The sequence below is a fragment of the Homo sapiens genome, chromosome 14 (assembly GCF_000001405.40).
Source record: "Homo sapiens chromosome 14, GRCh38.p14 Primary Assembly".
Classification (NCBI taxonomy): Eukaryota; Metazoa; Chordata; class Mammalia; order Primates; family Hominidae; genus Homo; species Homo sapiens.
In genome coordinates this window covers 47,145,000-47,159,690 of record NC_000014.9, presented here as the reverse complement: position 1 = coordinate 47,159,690, position 14,691 = coordinate 47,145,000, and the positions used below count along the sequence as shown (strand labels likewise).

The 14,691-nt window shown below is 39.0% G+C and overlaps 1 protein-coding gene across 10 annotated transcripts in view; it reads left to right on the top strand.

Annotated features, from left to right (window-relative positions):
• MDGA2 (MAM domain containing glycosylphosphatidylinositol anchor 2) overlaps positions 1-14,691 on the top strand; it is an 835,983-nt gene that overhangs the window by 515,915 nt on the left and 305,377 nt on the right. The window lies entirely within an intron of this gene.

The following is a 14,691-nucleotide window of genomic DNA, read 5'->3' as shown; positions in this document are numbered from 1 at the left end:
CAAATATAAAGTAACAATGAGCTATCACTTCACACAATCAGAGTGCACAAAAATTTAGAAGAGCAAAAAAGCCTGTTACGGCTGAAATTCAGGAAGAAGAATACTCATATGCTTGTGGTGAAATGTACATTCCTTTTGGAAAGCAATCAGGCAAAATTCGATACAACTAGTTACAAACCAGGTTCCTTACAAGAATTTAAGGACAATTAATGGGAGTTTAGAGACAATTAATGGGAATGATTGACTAAATTAGAAAACATTCATGACCAGGGATATTATACAACTATTTTTAAAAGGGTGGGGAGGATTAGAGCTCTACCTTGGAGGAATTTCCATGAAGTAGTTTGTGTGAGAAAAGTAAGATTTTTTTTTAAGTGTTATATTAAAATTCCCATGTACTTCCTCCTCCATGCATGCACAACCCCTCCCACTACCAACTTCCAGTACCAGAGTGGCTGATTATAATTGATGAACCTGCATTGACACATCATTATCACCCAAGTCCATAGTTTACATTAGGCTTCACTCTTAATGTTGTAAATTCTATAGGTTTGGACAATGTATCATGACACATATCCACCATTTTAGTATCACACAGAGTAGTTCCACTGCCCTAAAAATCCTCTGTGCTCTGCCTATTTATCCCTCCTTCCCTACAAATGTTTGGCAACCACTGGCCTTTTTACTGTCTCCATTGCTTGCCTTTTCCAGAATGTCATATATTTGGAATCATATCATGTTGCCTTTACAGATTGGCTTCTTTCACCTACTCATATGCATTTAAGATTCCTCCATGTGTATTCATGGCTTGAGAGCTCACTTCTTTTCAGCACTGAATAATATTCCACTGTCTGTATGTGCTACCTTTTATTTATCAGTTTACCCACTGAAGGACATCTTAGTTGTCTACAAGTTTTAGCAATTAGAAATAAAGCTGCTAGCTGGGCGTTGCTCACGCCTGTAATCCCAGCACTTTGGGAGGCCGAGGCACGCTGATCACCTGAGGTGAGGAGTTTGAGACCAGCCTGGCCAACATGGTGAAACCCCGTCTCTACTACAAATACAAAAATTAGCCAGGCAGCTGTTCGGGAGGTTGAGGCAGGAGAATCACTTGAACAGGAGGCAGAGGTTGTAGTGAGCCGAGATCGCGCCACTGCACTCCAGCCTGAGTGGCAGAGTTAGACTCCATCTCAGAAAAAAAAAAAAAGGCTGCTATAAGTATCAAAAAAGTGTTATATGATTTAATTTTTACAAAAAGACAAAAATCTGTATACATTATATGCGTACATGAACACACACACACACACACACACACACACACACACACCCACCCCAGGGATATGTTCTGAGAAATGTGCCCTTAAATGATTTCATTATTGTATGAACATTGTAGAGCATACTTACACAAACCTAGATGGTATAGCCCACTACACACCTAGGTGATATGGTATAGCCTATTAACCCTAGACCACAAACCTCTACAGCATGTTACTATACTGAATGCTGTAAGCAGTCGTAACACAGTGATATATATTTGTGTATCTAAACAGAAAAACTACAATAAAAATGTGGTATTATACTTTGTGGAACCACCATTTTATATGCGGTCTGTTGTGACTGAAACACAGTTATGCAGCACATGACTGTATGTATAATGTATGTGTGTGTGTGTGTGTGTGTGTGTATAGATACTGTATTAGTCTGTTCCACACTGCTATGAAGAAATACCCAAGACAATAATTTACAAAAAAAAGACATTTAATTGACTCACAGTTCTGCATGGCTGGGGAGGCCTCCAGAAACTTAAAATCATGGTTAAAGGCACTTCTTCACAGGGCAGCAGGAGGGAGAAGAATGAGAGCTGAGTGAGGGGGGGAGCCCTTATAAAACCACAAGATCTTGTGAGAACTTATTATCACGAGAATAGCGTGGTGGACACTGTCCCTATGATTCAATTACTTCCCACTGGGTCCCTCCCACCACACATGGGGATTATGGGAACTACAATTCAGGATGAGATTTGGGTGGGGACACAACCAAACCATATCAGATACACACACACACACACACACACACACACACACACACACACACATATATGTACATAGTTTAAAAATTTATATCCTTTGTTATTTTCATTTTTCAGGAGTTTGATAGAAAATGAGTGAGGAAGAGGTAAAAGAAAAATCCTGGGACAGTTTTTCCAGGACATATCAAGGTTCAAAAACTCTTTCTCTAGAATAATATGCAAAATCATCAGGATAATATTAGCAAAGATATATAAAACATGTAGTTGCATATATTTTAAAAAACTTATTGAAGATGCAATGGATTCTAATTTGTGTAAGTAAATGAGTAAAAGCAAAATTTCACATTAGAATGAATGAATCTAAGTTTTATAGATAGCCACATTCTTAGAAATGTCCCATTTGAGGAAGTTGGCTGTAAGTATTCATTTTGTCTTTTATTATGAATGATCAAATAAGATTACCCGTTATTCAAAAATTGCTATGTAGGAAAGATATGAAACATTTCCTGTCATCAATATTTGAACAAAATTTCCCATCGATTTATCAAAGAAAACAGTGCTTTTGAATTGATATCTGCAGAATTACAAATCATTTATATTGATGCTTTGTTCTTAATTATTGATGTCTAACAATGATTTAATTTCTCTTTTGTATAGCTTCACAGTAACCATTTCAGTCAGGTTGTGGTCATTGACAGACATATGCATATAATTAGCGTTATCTATTGTTATGAGCTATCACTCATATAGTGCATTCATATATAGTTGTATTAGTAATATAAATTCTTGTTCATAAAGTGAAAAAATAATATGCTTCTCTAGCTTTAGTGCCTCCAAGTATATTGAGCAATTATTTTCCTTAAGGAACCACATTTATATATCTTCTGTATAGGATTTTTAAGATTTCTGGAACTTTCCAGAGAAAAAGATGACATCCAATATAGTTTTTAGTGTGTCTTTCCATCTGGGTTTTCAGATTAATTTGGTTTAATTCAAAGATTAAAGACAGAAAAATTGGACCAAATGGTGGAATAAACTCCTGTGGAAAACATGCTTCTGCTGTGAATATTTTTTAGATTAATTGATTTTTTTAACTTGTGACTACATCCTGTGACTTCAGTCGCAGTTAATAACTGATTAATCATAAGCCTATGGATTAATTGCACCAGTGCATGTTGGGAGGTGAGTTAGCTGGTTTATGTCACTAGAGAAACTCGAGTGGTAGTGGAGAGTGGACTAAACAAATGCTTCCATAATTTAGTGAACTGAACTCAAACGAAGCTATTTAGTGTATAATAACTAACTTTGGAGTTTTTGAGGTTAAGAAAGCGTATGCCTTGATGTAAATATAAGGAAGGGTCAAAAATAATTTTAAGTTTTCTAGCCTAGAATCCTAGAAGCTTAAATGAAAACCTTCTGAAAAATAGGGACACACAACTGATAAAATAAATCTTGGCCAGGTGTGATGGCTTATGCCTATAATTCCACACTTTGGGAGGCTAAGGTGGGCAGATCACTTGAGGTTAGGTGTTTGTGACCAGCTTGGCCCAGCATGGTGAAACCCCGCCTCTACTAAAAATACAAAAATTAGCCGGGGTAGTGGCACGCACCTGTAATCCCAGCTACGCCAGCGGCTGAGGCATGAGAATCGCTTAACCTGGGAGGCGGAGGTTGCAGTGAGCCGAGATCGCGCCACTGCTCTCCAGCCTGGGTGACAGAGACTCTGTCTCAAAAAAAAAAAAAAAAAAAAAAAAAAAAAAAAAAAAAAAAAAAGAAGAAGAAGAAGAAAAGAAAAGAATTGTAAAAAAATTCATATAAAAAATGTCGCAAGACCCTTGGGGTGTCGCTTTGCCAGCCAGAAACCTCTGTGGCCAGTGGCACCTTTGCCCAAGTTTTGCTCAGTTTCACTGGGTTTGTTTTGCCCTCTCGGCCTGTTAGGCTGTGCTCAGCTTGCGCTACTGGCCTGGATCTCACACCTGTCAAGGGTGAGCCAGCCATGGAACGGTGAGGGCTGTTTGAGCAACCACAGGGTCTGGCCACTGTGTACAGCCAGACATGCCAGCTGTAGCGGGGTGGGCAACTCCCGGCATGGGCGTTGGCTCCCTGCTAGGCCGCAGCTGGAGCAGGCGTACTGCAAGCGGCTTTCACTGCAGACACTGGGGAACATGGTGGTACCCAGAATCTTGGAGACGCGAGGAACTGCAGAGCTCCGAAGAGAGTGTCACAGCTCTGGCTTGGGGAGCTGCTAGGTCTGGGTTTCCCGAAGGACCATGGCTCTTCTCTGTTTCTGTCTTCTCTTCTTCTCATCATCCGCAATGTGGCAAGCAGGGAGGCATGTTTCAGTCCTGTTTGTGTTATAGCTCTTTCAATCCTGCCATTCAGAAGGTCCCGAGTTCTTGTCCCGCATCCAGTGAGCATGAGGTACAAGGACAACTACAGGCGTGAGCAAGGCGAAGAGGAGCTTTATTGAGCAATAGCACAGGTCTCAGGAGACCTGAAGTGGGTACCTCCTTTCGCAGGCAGGTCATCGCAGCATCTGTACGGCCCTCAGGTTGTCATGATGAGTGTACAGCTCTCAGTGGAGAGGAGACCCACAGTGTGTAGCTCTTTTCCCTAGGGAGGTTATCCTGTTGTCTGTCCCAGTCTGGCTGAGTCTGGGATTTTAATCGGCTTCCGAGGGGAGGAAGTGCTTGCTGATTGGTCCATGGGCAGCCATGGGCAACCCTGGAAAAAGCACCATAAGTTCTCACTTTGGTAGGGGGAACTGGCAGCCTAGGCCCCATGCTACAGAGTCCATGGTTTGAAGGTGGGATTTCACAGGGGTCCTGCCCCTTTCCGCCCAGCCGCCTATCTGCCTCTTCATGGCGCCCTGGCTGTTCATGCTAGGGAGTGCCTGCAGGCCGGTGCCGAGTGGCCCTCAGCCCCATCTTGGCCTCTCTGCTGTACTTGTCACTACCTAAAGTCCGGAGGTGGGTGAGGTAGTAAGAGGCTGGTGTGTCAGTACCGACCCTAGCATCATACACACCAGGCCTGGTCTTGACAGCGCTTGGGCTGGACCACAACTTTGCTCCAAAATTGGAGCCAGTGCTGGGAGCCGGGAGAGGCCAGGCAGTGGGAGCAGGCACTTCCAAGCATGCAGGGGCAGGGGGGCTTCACAGGCCAAGAGCACAGGGATGTCCGGGTCCACTGCTGCGGCTGGGTGGCTGCAGCTGTGCCTGGGATCACAGGGCTCCCACCCCACCAACTTGGAAGGGGGCAGGAATCCTGCCTGTTCCCGGCTCCCGCAGTTTCCATGGAGTGCACAGCCTTAGCTGCATCTCCCCCACTGCGGTCGTCGTCTTTGCAGCAGCCACTCCAAATGGGGCCACTGCTGCCATCAAAGTATAACACTAAAATAATAATTATTTACTAAAAAATAGCTATTTCAAACATTGGGCATTTTCCTAATGCTCCTTATGTTTTATTTTATCCTAGGAATTTAAATGCACTCAGCTTAAGGAAAAACAAACTCTCTCTGCTTAATGAAAAACAAAACAGGAACAAAACAAAACAAGACTCTCTTGATCACATGTTGTCCTCTACTCCCCTAACTACTTTTTTTATTTTTTATGTTTTTGTTAGAGCCAAGTTTCTTGAAAGGATTATACCCATTAATCTCTCCATGTTTTTACTTGACTTTCACTCTGTAAAGTACAGGAAAATGCTAGACCCATCACTCCACTGACACAACTCTGGCAAAGGTCCCCAGTGATCTATTACTTGCCAAATTTAAAGTCACTTTCCAGTTCTGTTGTCTTTTCACCACTTATTCTGCTCTCCAACCTCTCCATGGCTGTGGAAGTGCTATTTTATTTACTATTGATTTGTTTTGACTCTACCTCTCTTCTTCTTTATCACTTTTTCCTTAGTCTTTTACAAAGCCCTCCCGCCCAACTGTTTTTTTTTTTTTTTTATTTCTTTTCTTTTCTTTTTTTGCCTGTACTTAGTGCTGCCCAGGCCTCTCTCACTGGTCCTTCCCTTTTTCCATTCTGCATATTCCTTGAGTGGTCCATTCCCCTCCACAGCATACTGATGACTCCCAAATCCATATCTGTAGCCCAGACTTATTTTGGCTCTAGGTCGTGTACATTGCAACTGGAGGAGCTGCGTCAACCAAACAGAACTCAACTTTCTTACCTTTTACAACTCCCATCCCACTCCACCCACAGCCAGGTGAAGTTCTCTCTTTACGTTTCATGTTTCAGTTAGTGCACTGTCTACCCAACTGCCAAATCCAGGTCCTTAGAGACCTTTTTTAACTCCCACCTTTTGCCCAGCCCGGTTTCTAATCACTCACCTAGTTCAGTTCAGTTAAGCCTCCTCTCCATGCCCATTGTCACCCTTATTTCAAAGCCCCTGTCATTGTTCATCTCAGTTGTTACCACAACCTTCTTACTGATCTCCTTACCACTCTTTTTGCCACCCCCAAATCTCTTCTCCAGAAGGAGCTAGGATGATCTTTCTAAAGCGAAAGCCTGGCTAAAAAAGTAATGGAATGGATTTTCTTTAGCATAGATGGTGCTACTAATGATTTGGTCCATTTTTGTTTCTCAAACATCATACCAAATTACTATTCCTCAATACCCAGAAGTCTTTTCTAGCTTTGCTGGATATCTGATATTGGCTCTGATATCTCAGAGCTTTATGTGTGCTACTTCCTACTCTTCACATGTATACATTACTCTATACTTGTGAAGAATTTTGGCCCCTGTTGAATAATAAAAGTCATATGCACTTAAAATAACATTTTGTAATTATTTAATTTAATATATTATCTGGCATACTCTCTTCATAATTTAGGATTTATTTCAGGCATCATCTTTTCAGGTAGCCTTTACTGTTCTTTCCAGAAAGAAATAGTTGTCTGTATTTGGCTTACATCTCTATAGGATCATTTAGTTAATTGTGTTGTGTTTTTTTTTCATCTTATTCATTTATTTGCCTTTTTTTGACTCATGAACTGTAGGCTACTTGTAAACTGAGTTATTTACATAATGCTTACCATATTGTAGACATGTAAAATATGCATGAAGATAATGAACATAAACATTTTAGATTAAGATATATTTGATAATACTCATCGTGTTACATATATACTGGCAAATTACTTCATTTCTCTGAAACTTGACTCCCAGGACATTAAAAGAGACGAGGTTTCTATAAAAATGAAATTAGTTGGCATATGTAAAGTTTCTTCCAAACATCCTGGCCCAAAATAGGTATTCAATAAATATTAGGCATAGCATTCATTAGTTGATTATTTGTACACCATGTCCTGAACACCTACATGTTGAGATTAATAGAAACTCAAAAAAATATTGCAAAGTAAAACTGGGCAAGTAGATAATTCTTATAGGTATACAAAGAAAAACCATGGAAAAGTTCAGATTGTCTTGGAACATTTCTCTTACCATTACATCAAAACCTATGTCAAATTTTTCATACCACAAATTCTTTTGGGAGACAATTGGGAGACAGTTATTTCTAGAGTTGAGGAAAACAGCATATATTACATTAATTTTCTTAAACTGACTTTAATCTACTAGTGTTTGGCACATTTGATCAGCCAAAAAAAGTTTCAAGAAAATTAGTTTAGTTATAAAGGGGTAGCTACTGCATTTAAATGAAAAAACACATTTTTCTTAATTATTATGATACATATCAATTTCCTTGCTGAAAACTGACATTGACTATATTCATGACAGATTAATCTTCCTTTATATTAATTTATTAGATTATTGAGTGTGCCTATTATATTGGTTTTTAAGAATATAAATATAAGGTATGAGTCCTATACACATAGAAATATATTTTATAGGAAACCATATTGTTATTGAAATATATTTAAAATAAATACATATCAAATAAGATAATTATTTACATTACTGTATATATGTGAAGAATTTTGGCCCCAGTTTAATAATAAAAATCATACACTTTTAAAATAATATTTTGTAATTATTTAATATCTAGATATTTGAATTTCACACATTTAGCTTATAAAATTAAATTTATTTTAAAGAGATAAATATAAATAAAATAACAATAACAGAAGAGAGTTCAGTGTGGTTAGGTAATATTATCAGGGTCATAAAGTATGAAAATTGACTGTTGAATAAACATAGAGACATATTTTATGCTTCCTGAACTACATTTAAAAGCTAGAGAAAATTATGAATAGTAACTTCAAGTCCTTATCATAAAACTCTGTAGCAGGTGCTTTTTCTTCCTGGAAGCGTTGGAAGATGTTGGCTCTCCAGTCAGCCCTTCTAATGGAGTTGTCCTCAGCTGGCAAGAGCCACCTCACTGTGGGAAATGCTAATGCAGTGAAGCATCAATCTCCTTTGTAGGAAAACTCTGCAGGGCCACTCTGAAAGGCCTTCTCAACTGAACAGCTCCATCTGACCTATTTGGAAGTAATGCAGCACAGTTGAACTCATTCCACTGCCTAATCCCTCTTTTTTTAAAACACTACTACATGAGTTGATTCTGAGGGCACTCTCCAACAAACTTCCGAAATGCATGTCTTCGTCAAAGAATCAGATTTCCAAAGAACCCATTCTAGGTGATCTGAGGAAGATAACTTTAAAATGGAATTTTAGAGGTGGATCACTCAGCAGCCAACTAGCTGGCTGCAGTGAGGGCCCCATTGCTGTTGGCAGGTAGCTACTGATAGCTCTTTTTTTTTTTTTTTTTTTTGAGACAGAGTCTTGCTCTGTCACCCAGGCTGGAGTACAGTGGCACAATCTCGGCTCACTACAACCTCTACCTCCCGGGTTCAAGCGATTCTCATGCCTCAGCCTTCTGAGTAACTGGGATTACAGGCATGCACCACCATGTCCAGCTAATTTTTATATTTTTAGTAGAGACAAGGTTTCACCATGTTGGCCAGGCTGGTCTTTAATTTCCTACTTCAGGTGATCCACCTGCCTTGGCCTTCCAAAGTGCTAGGATTACAGGCATGAGCCACCACGCCCAGCCAACCACTTATAGCTCTTGATTGCTATAGTGGGAAGTTGTTAAAATCTTCACCTGTGATAAGGATAGGTATTGAGGAAAGGTAATGCCCTGTGAGTTCAATATTTCAGGCTTCTGAGGAATTCAGAGGAAAGTAATAATTATAAGGACAATGGAATCAGGTTCTGCTGGGTTCCTTTTACGCAGTGGAGAAAAAAAATGAAAGGCTGAGTGTAATTAATCATCACTTGACCGTGGTATGTGAGCATAAGACCTCTTTGGCAAAATACAAAGAGATTCTTATCTTCTGCAGTCAAAGGTCATAAAAGCAGATAATAAGGCTTAGGACTTATTTAAAAGTATAACAGAATTTCAAGAGGCCTGCATCCTCAGCTATGCCAGAGTCTGAACCCTGGTTGGGAACAAGGGGAATCTTACGGGAGGTTACATCTGAGTTTATGGACTCCACAACCTTGAAGTCTCAAATTATCCTAAACCATCTGGACCTATGGAAGTTGCCTATTCCTCCTAATTAGAGGCAGTCATTTCCATCTTGCTTGAAGATGATACAGAAACCTCTTCCCTTGGAGGTAACTCACACCCTTCTCGGGATAGAACCCCACTTCCATTCTGGCCACCAGATCCATATAGGGTCAATAGATGACATTACTTGGCTCTGGAATTGTTGGGCTTCTAAGACAGGAAAAAGATTATGCTTTAAATTAGCTATAGACCTCAGCCAGGAGTTAGGGAAGTATGTATGGAGCTAGATGCTGAGGCTGCTGGATGAGATGGGATGGAGAATAAGAGATTGAATAAAATTGAGGATGGAAAATAGGATCAAGTGAGGATAGTGACACAGATTATTGATATGGGAACATTCCACCATGATACAAGATTTAACACTTAGACAAGGACAGCAGGAAATAGTGTTATACACTGCTAGGATGGCTCTTGGAAGCTTGGGGAAAGCAATGGTCTCCACTAAATAAAGTATAAATGCCCAAACTGCTGTGCAGACAATGAAAAAAGGACCAAATGACTCAGAGAAGTGGGAATGCTAAAGTGAATATGTCATATAAGTTCCAGAAATATCATCAGCTCACTTTTTCTTTGTAAAGGCTTGGAGAATACCTCCTTGACTAAAGCAGTAAGAATGTGCTGATGGCTGAGACACAAGCATCATTAAGAAGCTCAGTGGTGACTGGACTGTCCTCTGTAGGCAAATGTTGATAGCAGTAGATGCTATTATAGAATTGGCCTCTCTCGTAACAGCGGGGATGACAGGTTTTCAAAATAATGGAGGCTAGGAGGTAGTTCTTAGTTGTCACAAGAAAAGGAGGCACACTTATTTTTTGTTTTTTGTTTTTGTTTTTGAGACAGAGTCTCACTCTGTCCCCCAGGTTGGAGTGCAGTGGTGTGATCTTGGCTCACTGCAACCTTCACCTCCCGGGTTCAAGCAATTCTCCTGCCTCAGCGTCCTGACTAGCTGGGACTATAGGTGCCTGCCACCATGCCTGGCTAATTTTTGTATTTTTGGTAGAGATGGGTTTCACCATGTTGGCCAGGCTTGTCTCGAACCCCTGACCTCAAATGATCCACCCAACCTTGGTCTCCCAAACTGCTGGGATTACAGGCATGATCCACTGTGCCCAGCCAGGCACATTTATCTTAATGAATGGCTTGTTCAAATATATCTAAGACTCCAGAATCACAGAGAGCTATGGAGATGGTTAACAGAACACAGCATCTCTAGGGGAAAATAAGTGGACAGCCAAGAAACTATTGCACAATCTACACAAATTAAAAATGGGTGAGTAAGAGTCTGCATATGGCTGTCTAATGAAAAGCCACGATCCTTGTCCAATTTCTGTACCTGAGGCAATTTTCAGATTTTGAGCTCGTTGACTGAAAACTTCAACTGAATCACCAGAAAGAACCCCGAAACACCATAGCAAATGTATGTGGTAATTATTCTCTCATTTCTTTCTATAAAAAACCTACATCCATTTACTTGAATAATCATACACTAGGGAGAATGGACTCCTGAGATACTTTGAGAAATGTCATACACAGGATCCAGATTGACCTGGATATCAGTATTCTGGAGTGGGCACATTGCCATGGATTATCTGGTCATACGTACTACATCAACTAAAAATGCCAACTTAATAGAGCGATAGAATGGCCTTTTAGAGAGGGCAATTGAGTCTTACAGAGAAAATATTCAGTAAGGAGTGGGTGCTACCCTCCATGATGCAGTTAAATTCTAAATCAATGACCATTATTATATGCTGCTTTTTCTCCTTATAGAATACCAGGTCCAAGAACCAAGAAGTGACCTCACTATCATCACATCCAGTGACCTACTGGAGGATTGCTTTCCTTCCCGCAACTCTGGGCTCTGCCAGTTTAGAGGTCCCAGTTCCCAGAAAGGGAAAAAGCTTCTATTAAGTGACATAGCAAGAGTCCCATTAATCTTTAAGCCATAGCATCAACTCAGTAACTTTAGGCTTCTGTGTCAGGAAGCAGCAGACAAGAGGAGTCACTATCCTGGTGGGAGTGACCAGCCTATATGAGGCTGTTGGTAGGACTGTTGTTACATAGTGAGGCAGGAAACAGTATGTTTGATACCCAGTTAATGCAGTGAGTCATTTCTCGGTATTCTCTTGTTCAATTTTGGTCATAAACAGACAAGTACATCAGCCTTGGTTTGAGAAGATATTATGATCAAGGGCTCAAATCTGACAAAATTCTAGTAATGCAACTAGGTAAGCTACCTATACCAAAAAATGTACTAGCGCAGGGTGAGAGGAATCTAGAATGGCAATAGTAGAAGGAGATGATGGATATAGTCCTACTATAGTTCCTTTTGAAAGTTTTCCCAGAAAGAGACTAACCAGAGTCTTGGAATAGCTTTTCACAGATAGATTTATCACACCTAGCAAGTAGATCTGACTGGATACTGCAGTGCACCAGTTAGATCCCTTCCCCAGAACTGAAGCACTCATTCCTCCCGCTGCTGAGAGTATTAACAGATGATTGCTATCAGGTAAAATTGCTCTCTCTAGAAATAAGCCAAACAGAGCAGGCCCTCCCAAGGTTATGTCTCCTAGCGAGGAGTAGCACAAATTGAATGACCTGTTGATAGGGGAGGTGGTCGGTGTATAAAGGCTTAGCCCCTTTGCCTCAGGGCAGGGCAGCTTTGAGGGGATATCACAGCTCAGAGAGTTCTGCAAAGCTACTGAGACCTTTTGTAGTTCAACCCTCCCCTTGATCAGTCCTACTTCTTTCACTCTCTCATATGTGTTGATCTGTAAGATACTTCCCAGAACCATTTCTGCGCACACATCTCTGAATCTGTTTTCTCAGAAACCTGTCCTAAATCAAATACAAATATTCAATATATATTTAGTAATATAAAGAATATATATTAAAATAGATTTAAGTGATATGTGTGTATAAATTACTTACATTATATATTATTATATATATAAGTATGTATATCTACACATGGGCATACATGTGGGCACACACAAACATACATATATAATCTCCCTTAAAATTGTATATTTTTAGCTGTGCCATCATTTCACTTGTCTTAAACAAATCTTGTTTTGGCATGTTGTTTTTAAATCTGAAATGCAAAAAACACTTAGAAATTTCTAAACATGAGTCAATTCAACAGATAACCTAGCCAATACTATAAGCCATTGTCACAAAATTAGAATCTTGAAAACCAATGACCCAAAAGTCATCCAGACCAGGGAAGAACAGGTTTGGTTTATTCCTGACTGAGTCTGTTGACACCACCACTTGACAAGAAAGAGCTGGGGATACATCAAGAAATGGGTGTTGGAAAGTACAAACCTATTAACTGTTTGGAAGTCATCATTGTTACACTGTTTACCATCAAATTCTGTTTTGTTCCTGAGCTTTCTGAATTCAGAATTTAATTTTTACAACACATACAGCTCATAACTTCTAAAAATGAGCCTGTGACTAAAGAGATTATGTTTTGAACAAGAAAAAAAGTAAATTGTTTACAATTGAATCAGAGTATCTTTTATCAAGTCACTAAGGCTAAATTCAATTAATCAATATATATGATGTATATGAAAGGCTAATCACCAAATTAATGAATATTTGATAGGTTTTAAAAATCTCAAAACATTTTATGATAATGATGCTGGTATCCCTAAATATCCGAACTTAATAAAACCAGACAGCATATATCGCTGCACAGCTAATAGAATGAATTTAAATGGAAAGTTCCTTTAAGCTTTACCAAAAAGCAGCAGTTGTTCTGTAAATTTAAACTACTAAAATTAGAGGCCTTTGAGGTAGCTGTGAAAATATTCTGATGTTGGAAGAAAAAAAGCCCTCAGAATGTTGCAAAACTAGAAATCAAAGTAGGGCTGTCAAGTGAATCACATTTGAAAAAAAACTTTTTAAAAAATGGGGAAATTTTGGATTCTGTTCTTTACTTTGATTCTCTAAGGTAGCTATTACTTCACTACTTTGGTTGGCATTTTATTATGTTAACACATCAGAGAGAATCTTTTCTAAGGAACAATGTCTTTTAAATATTCAGGGTAGCATATGCTCACACACTTCACTATTCTTATGTCCATATAAATACTGTAGGTTATTTCCAGGCCTTTGTTAAAGTTTTTGTCATGTAGAAGCATTTGATAGTCTGGACAATGGGCAAGTGGCATTTTACCTATTTATAATAAGAGTTGAATGTATTATGAATTGGTGAAATAAAAACAAGAAAACAGCATAGAATCAATAGGAGTTTAAATGAGACTCCAATAATGATAGTAATATTATTAATAATAGTAATAGCCAACTTTTATTAAGCATTCATTAAAAGTAATGTCAAAAACTGAAATTACTTTTGCACCAACTTAATACTATGTGTCCAGGGCTTTATGGACTATCTCATTTAATCCTTCAACAGCCTAAATAATATGGTATCATTATCATTCCGATCTGCTGACAAGGAAATTGAAGACCCCAAAGTTAAGTAACCTTTCTTGGTTATAATTAAAAGGGGTAAAGCTGGGTGAAGGTGGTAATGAACACAGCAGGTTTTGCATCATACTTAAAGTATATACTAAGTTTATACTAGCACATGGAACTAAAAGCTTGCTGCTTTAAGGGAAGTACACTTTTAAAATTTATCTTTCGCTTAAGAAAAGAACCTGGAATATGCCATATCAGGGGTTGGCAGATTATGGCCCATTAGCCAAAGCTGGTTGAGGAGTGTCTGTATTTATAAATAAAGTTTTATTGGAACTCAGCAACATTCATTATTAATTTACCTATTGTGTTTTGCTGCTTTCACACTGCAATGGTAGAGATGGGTAGTTGAAACAATCATTTGAATCACAAAGCCCAAGGTATTTATGAATTGACCTTTTTCAGAAAATGCTGAGCCTCTACTGTACAGTCTTTCTTTAGGATACATGCAAAATGACACATAATTAGTTCCAATATCCAGTAATAGAAACAGGAGTGCCTTTTAATAATGCCTTTTAGCACTCTTCAAATTAACAAATATAATCTGGAATATAAAATTTGAGATAACATTTAGTCCTGTGCAAGATCATATTTTGGTACTATACATATTCTAATCATTTGTAATTTTTAAATTATTT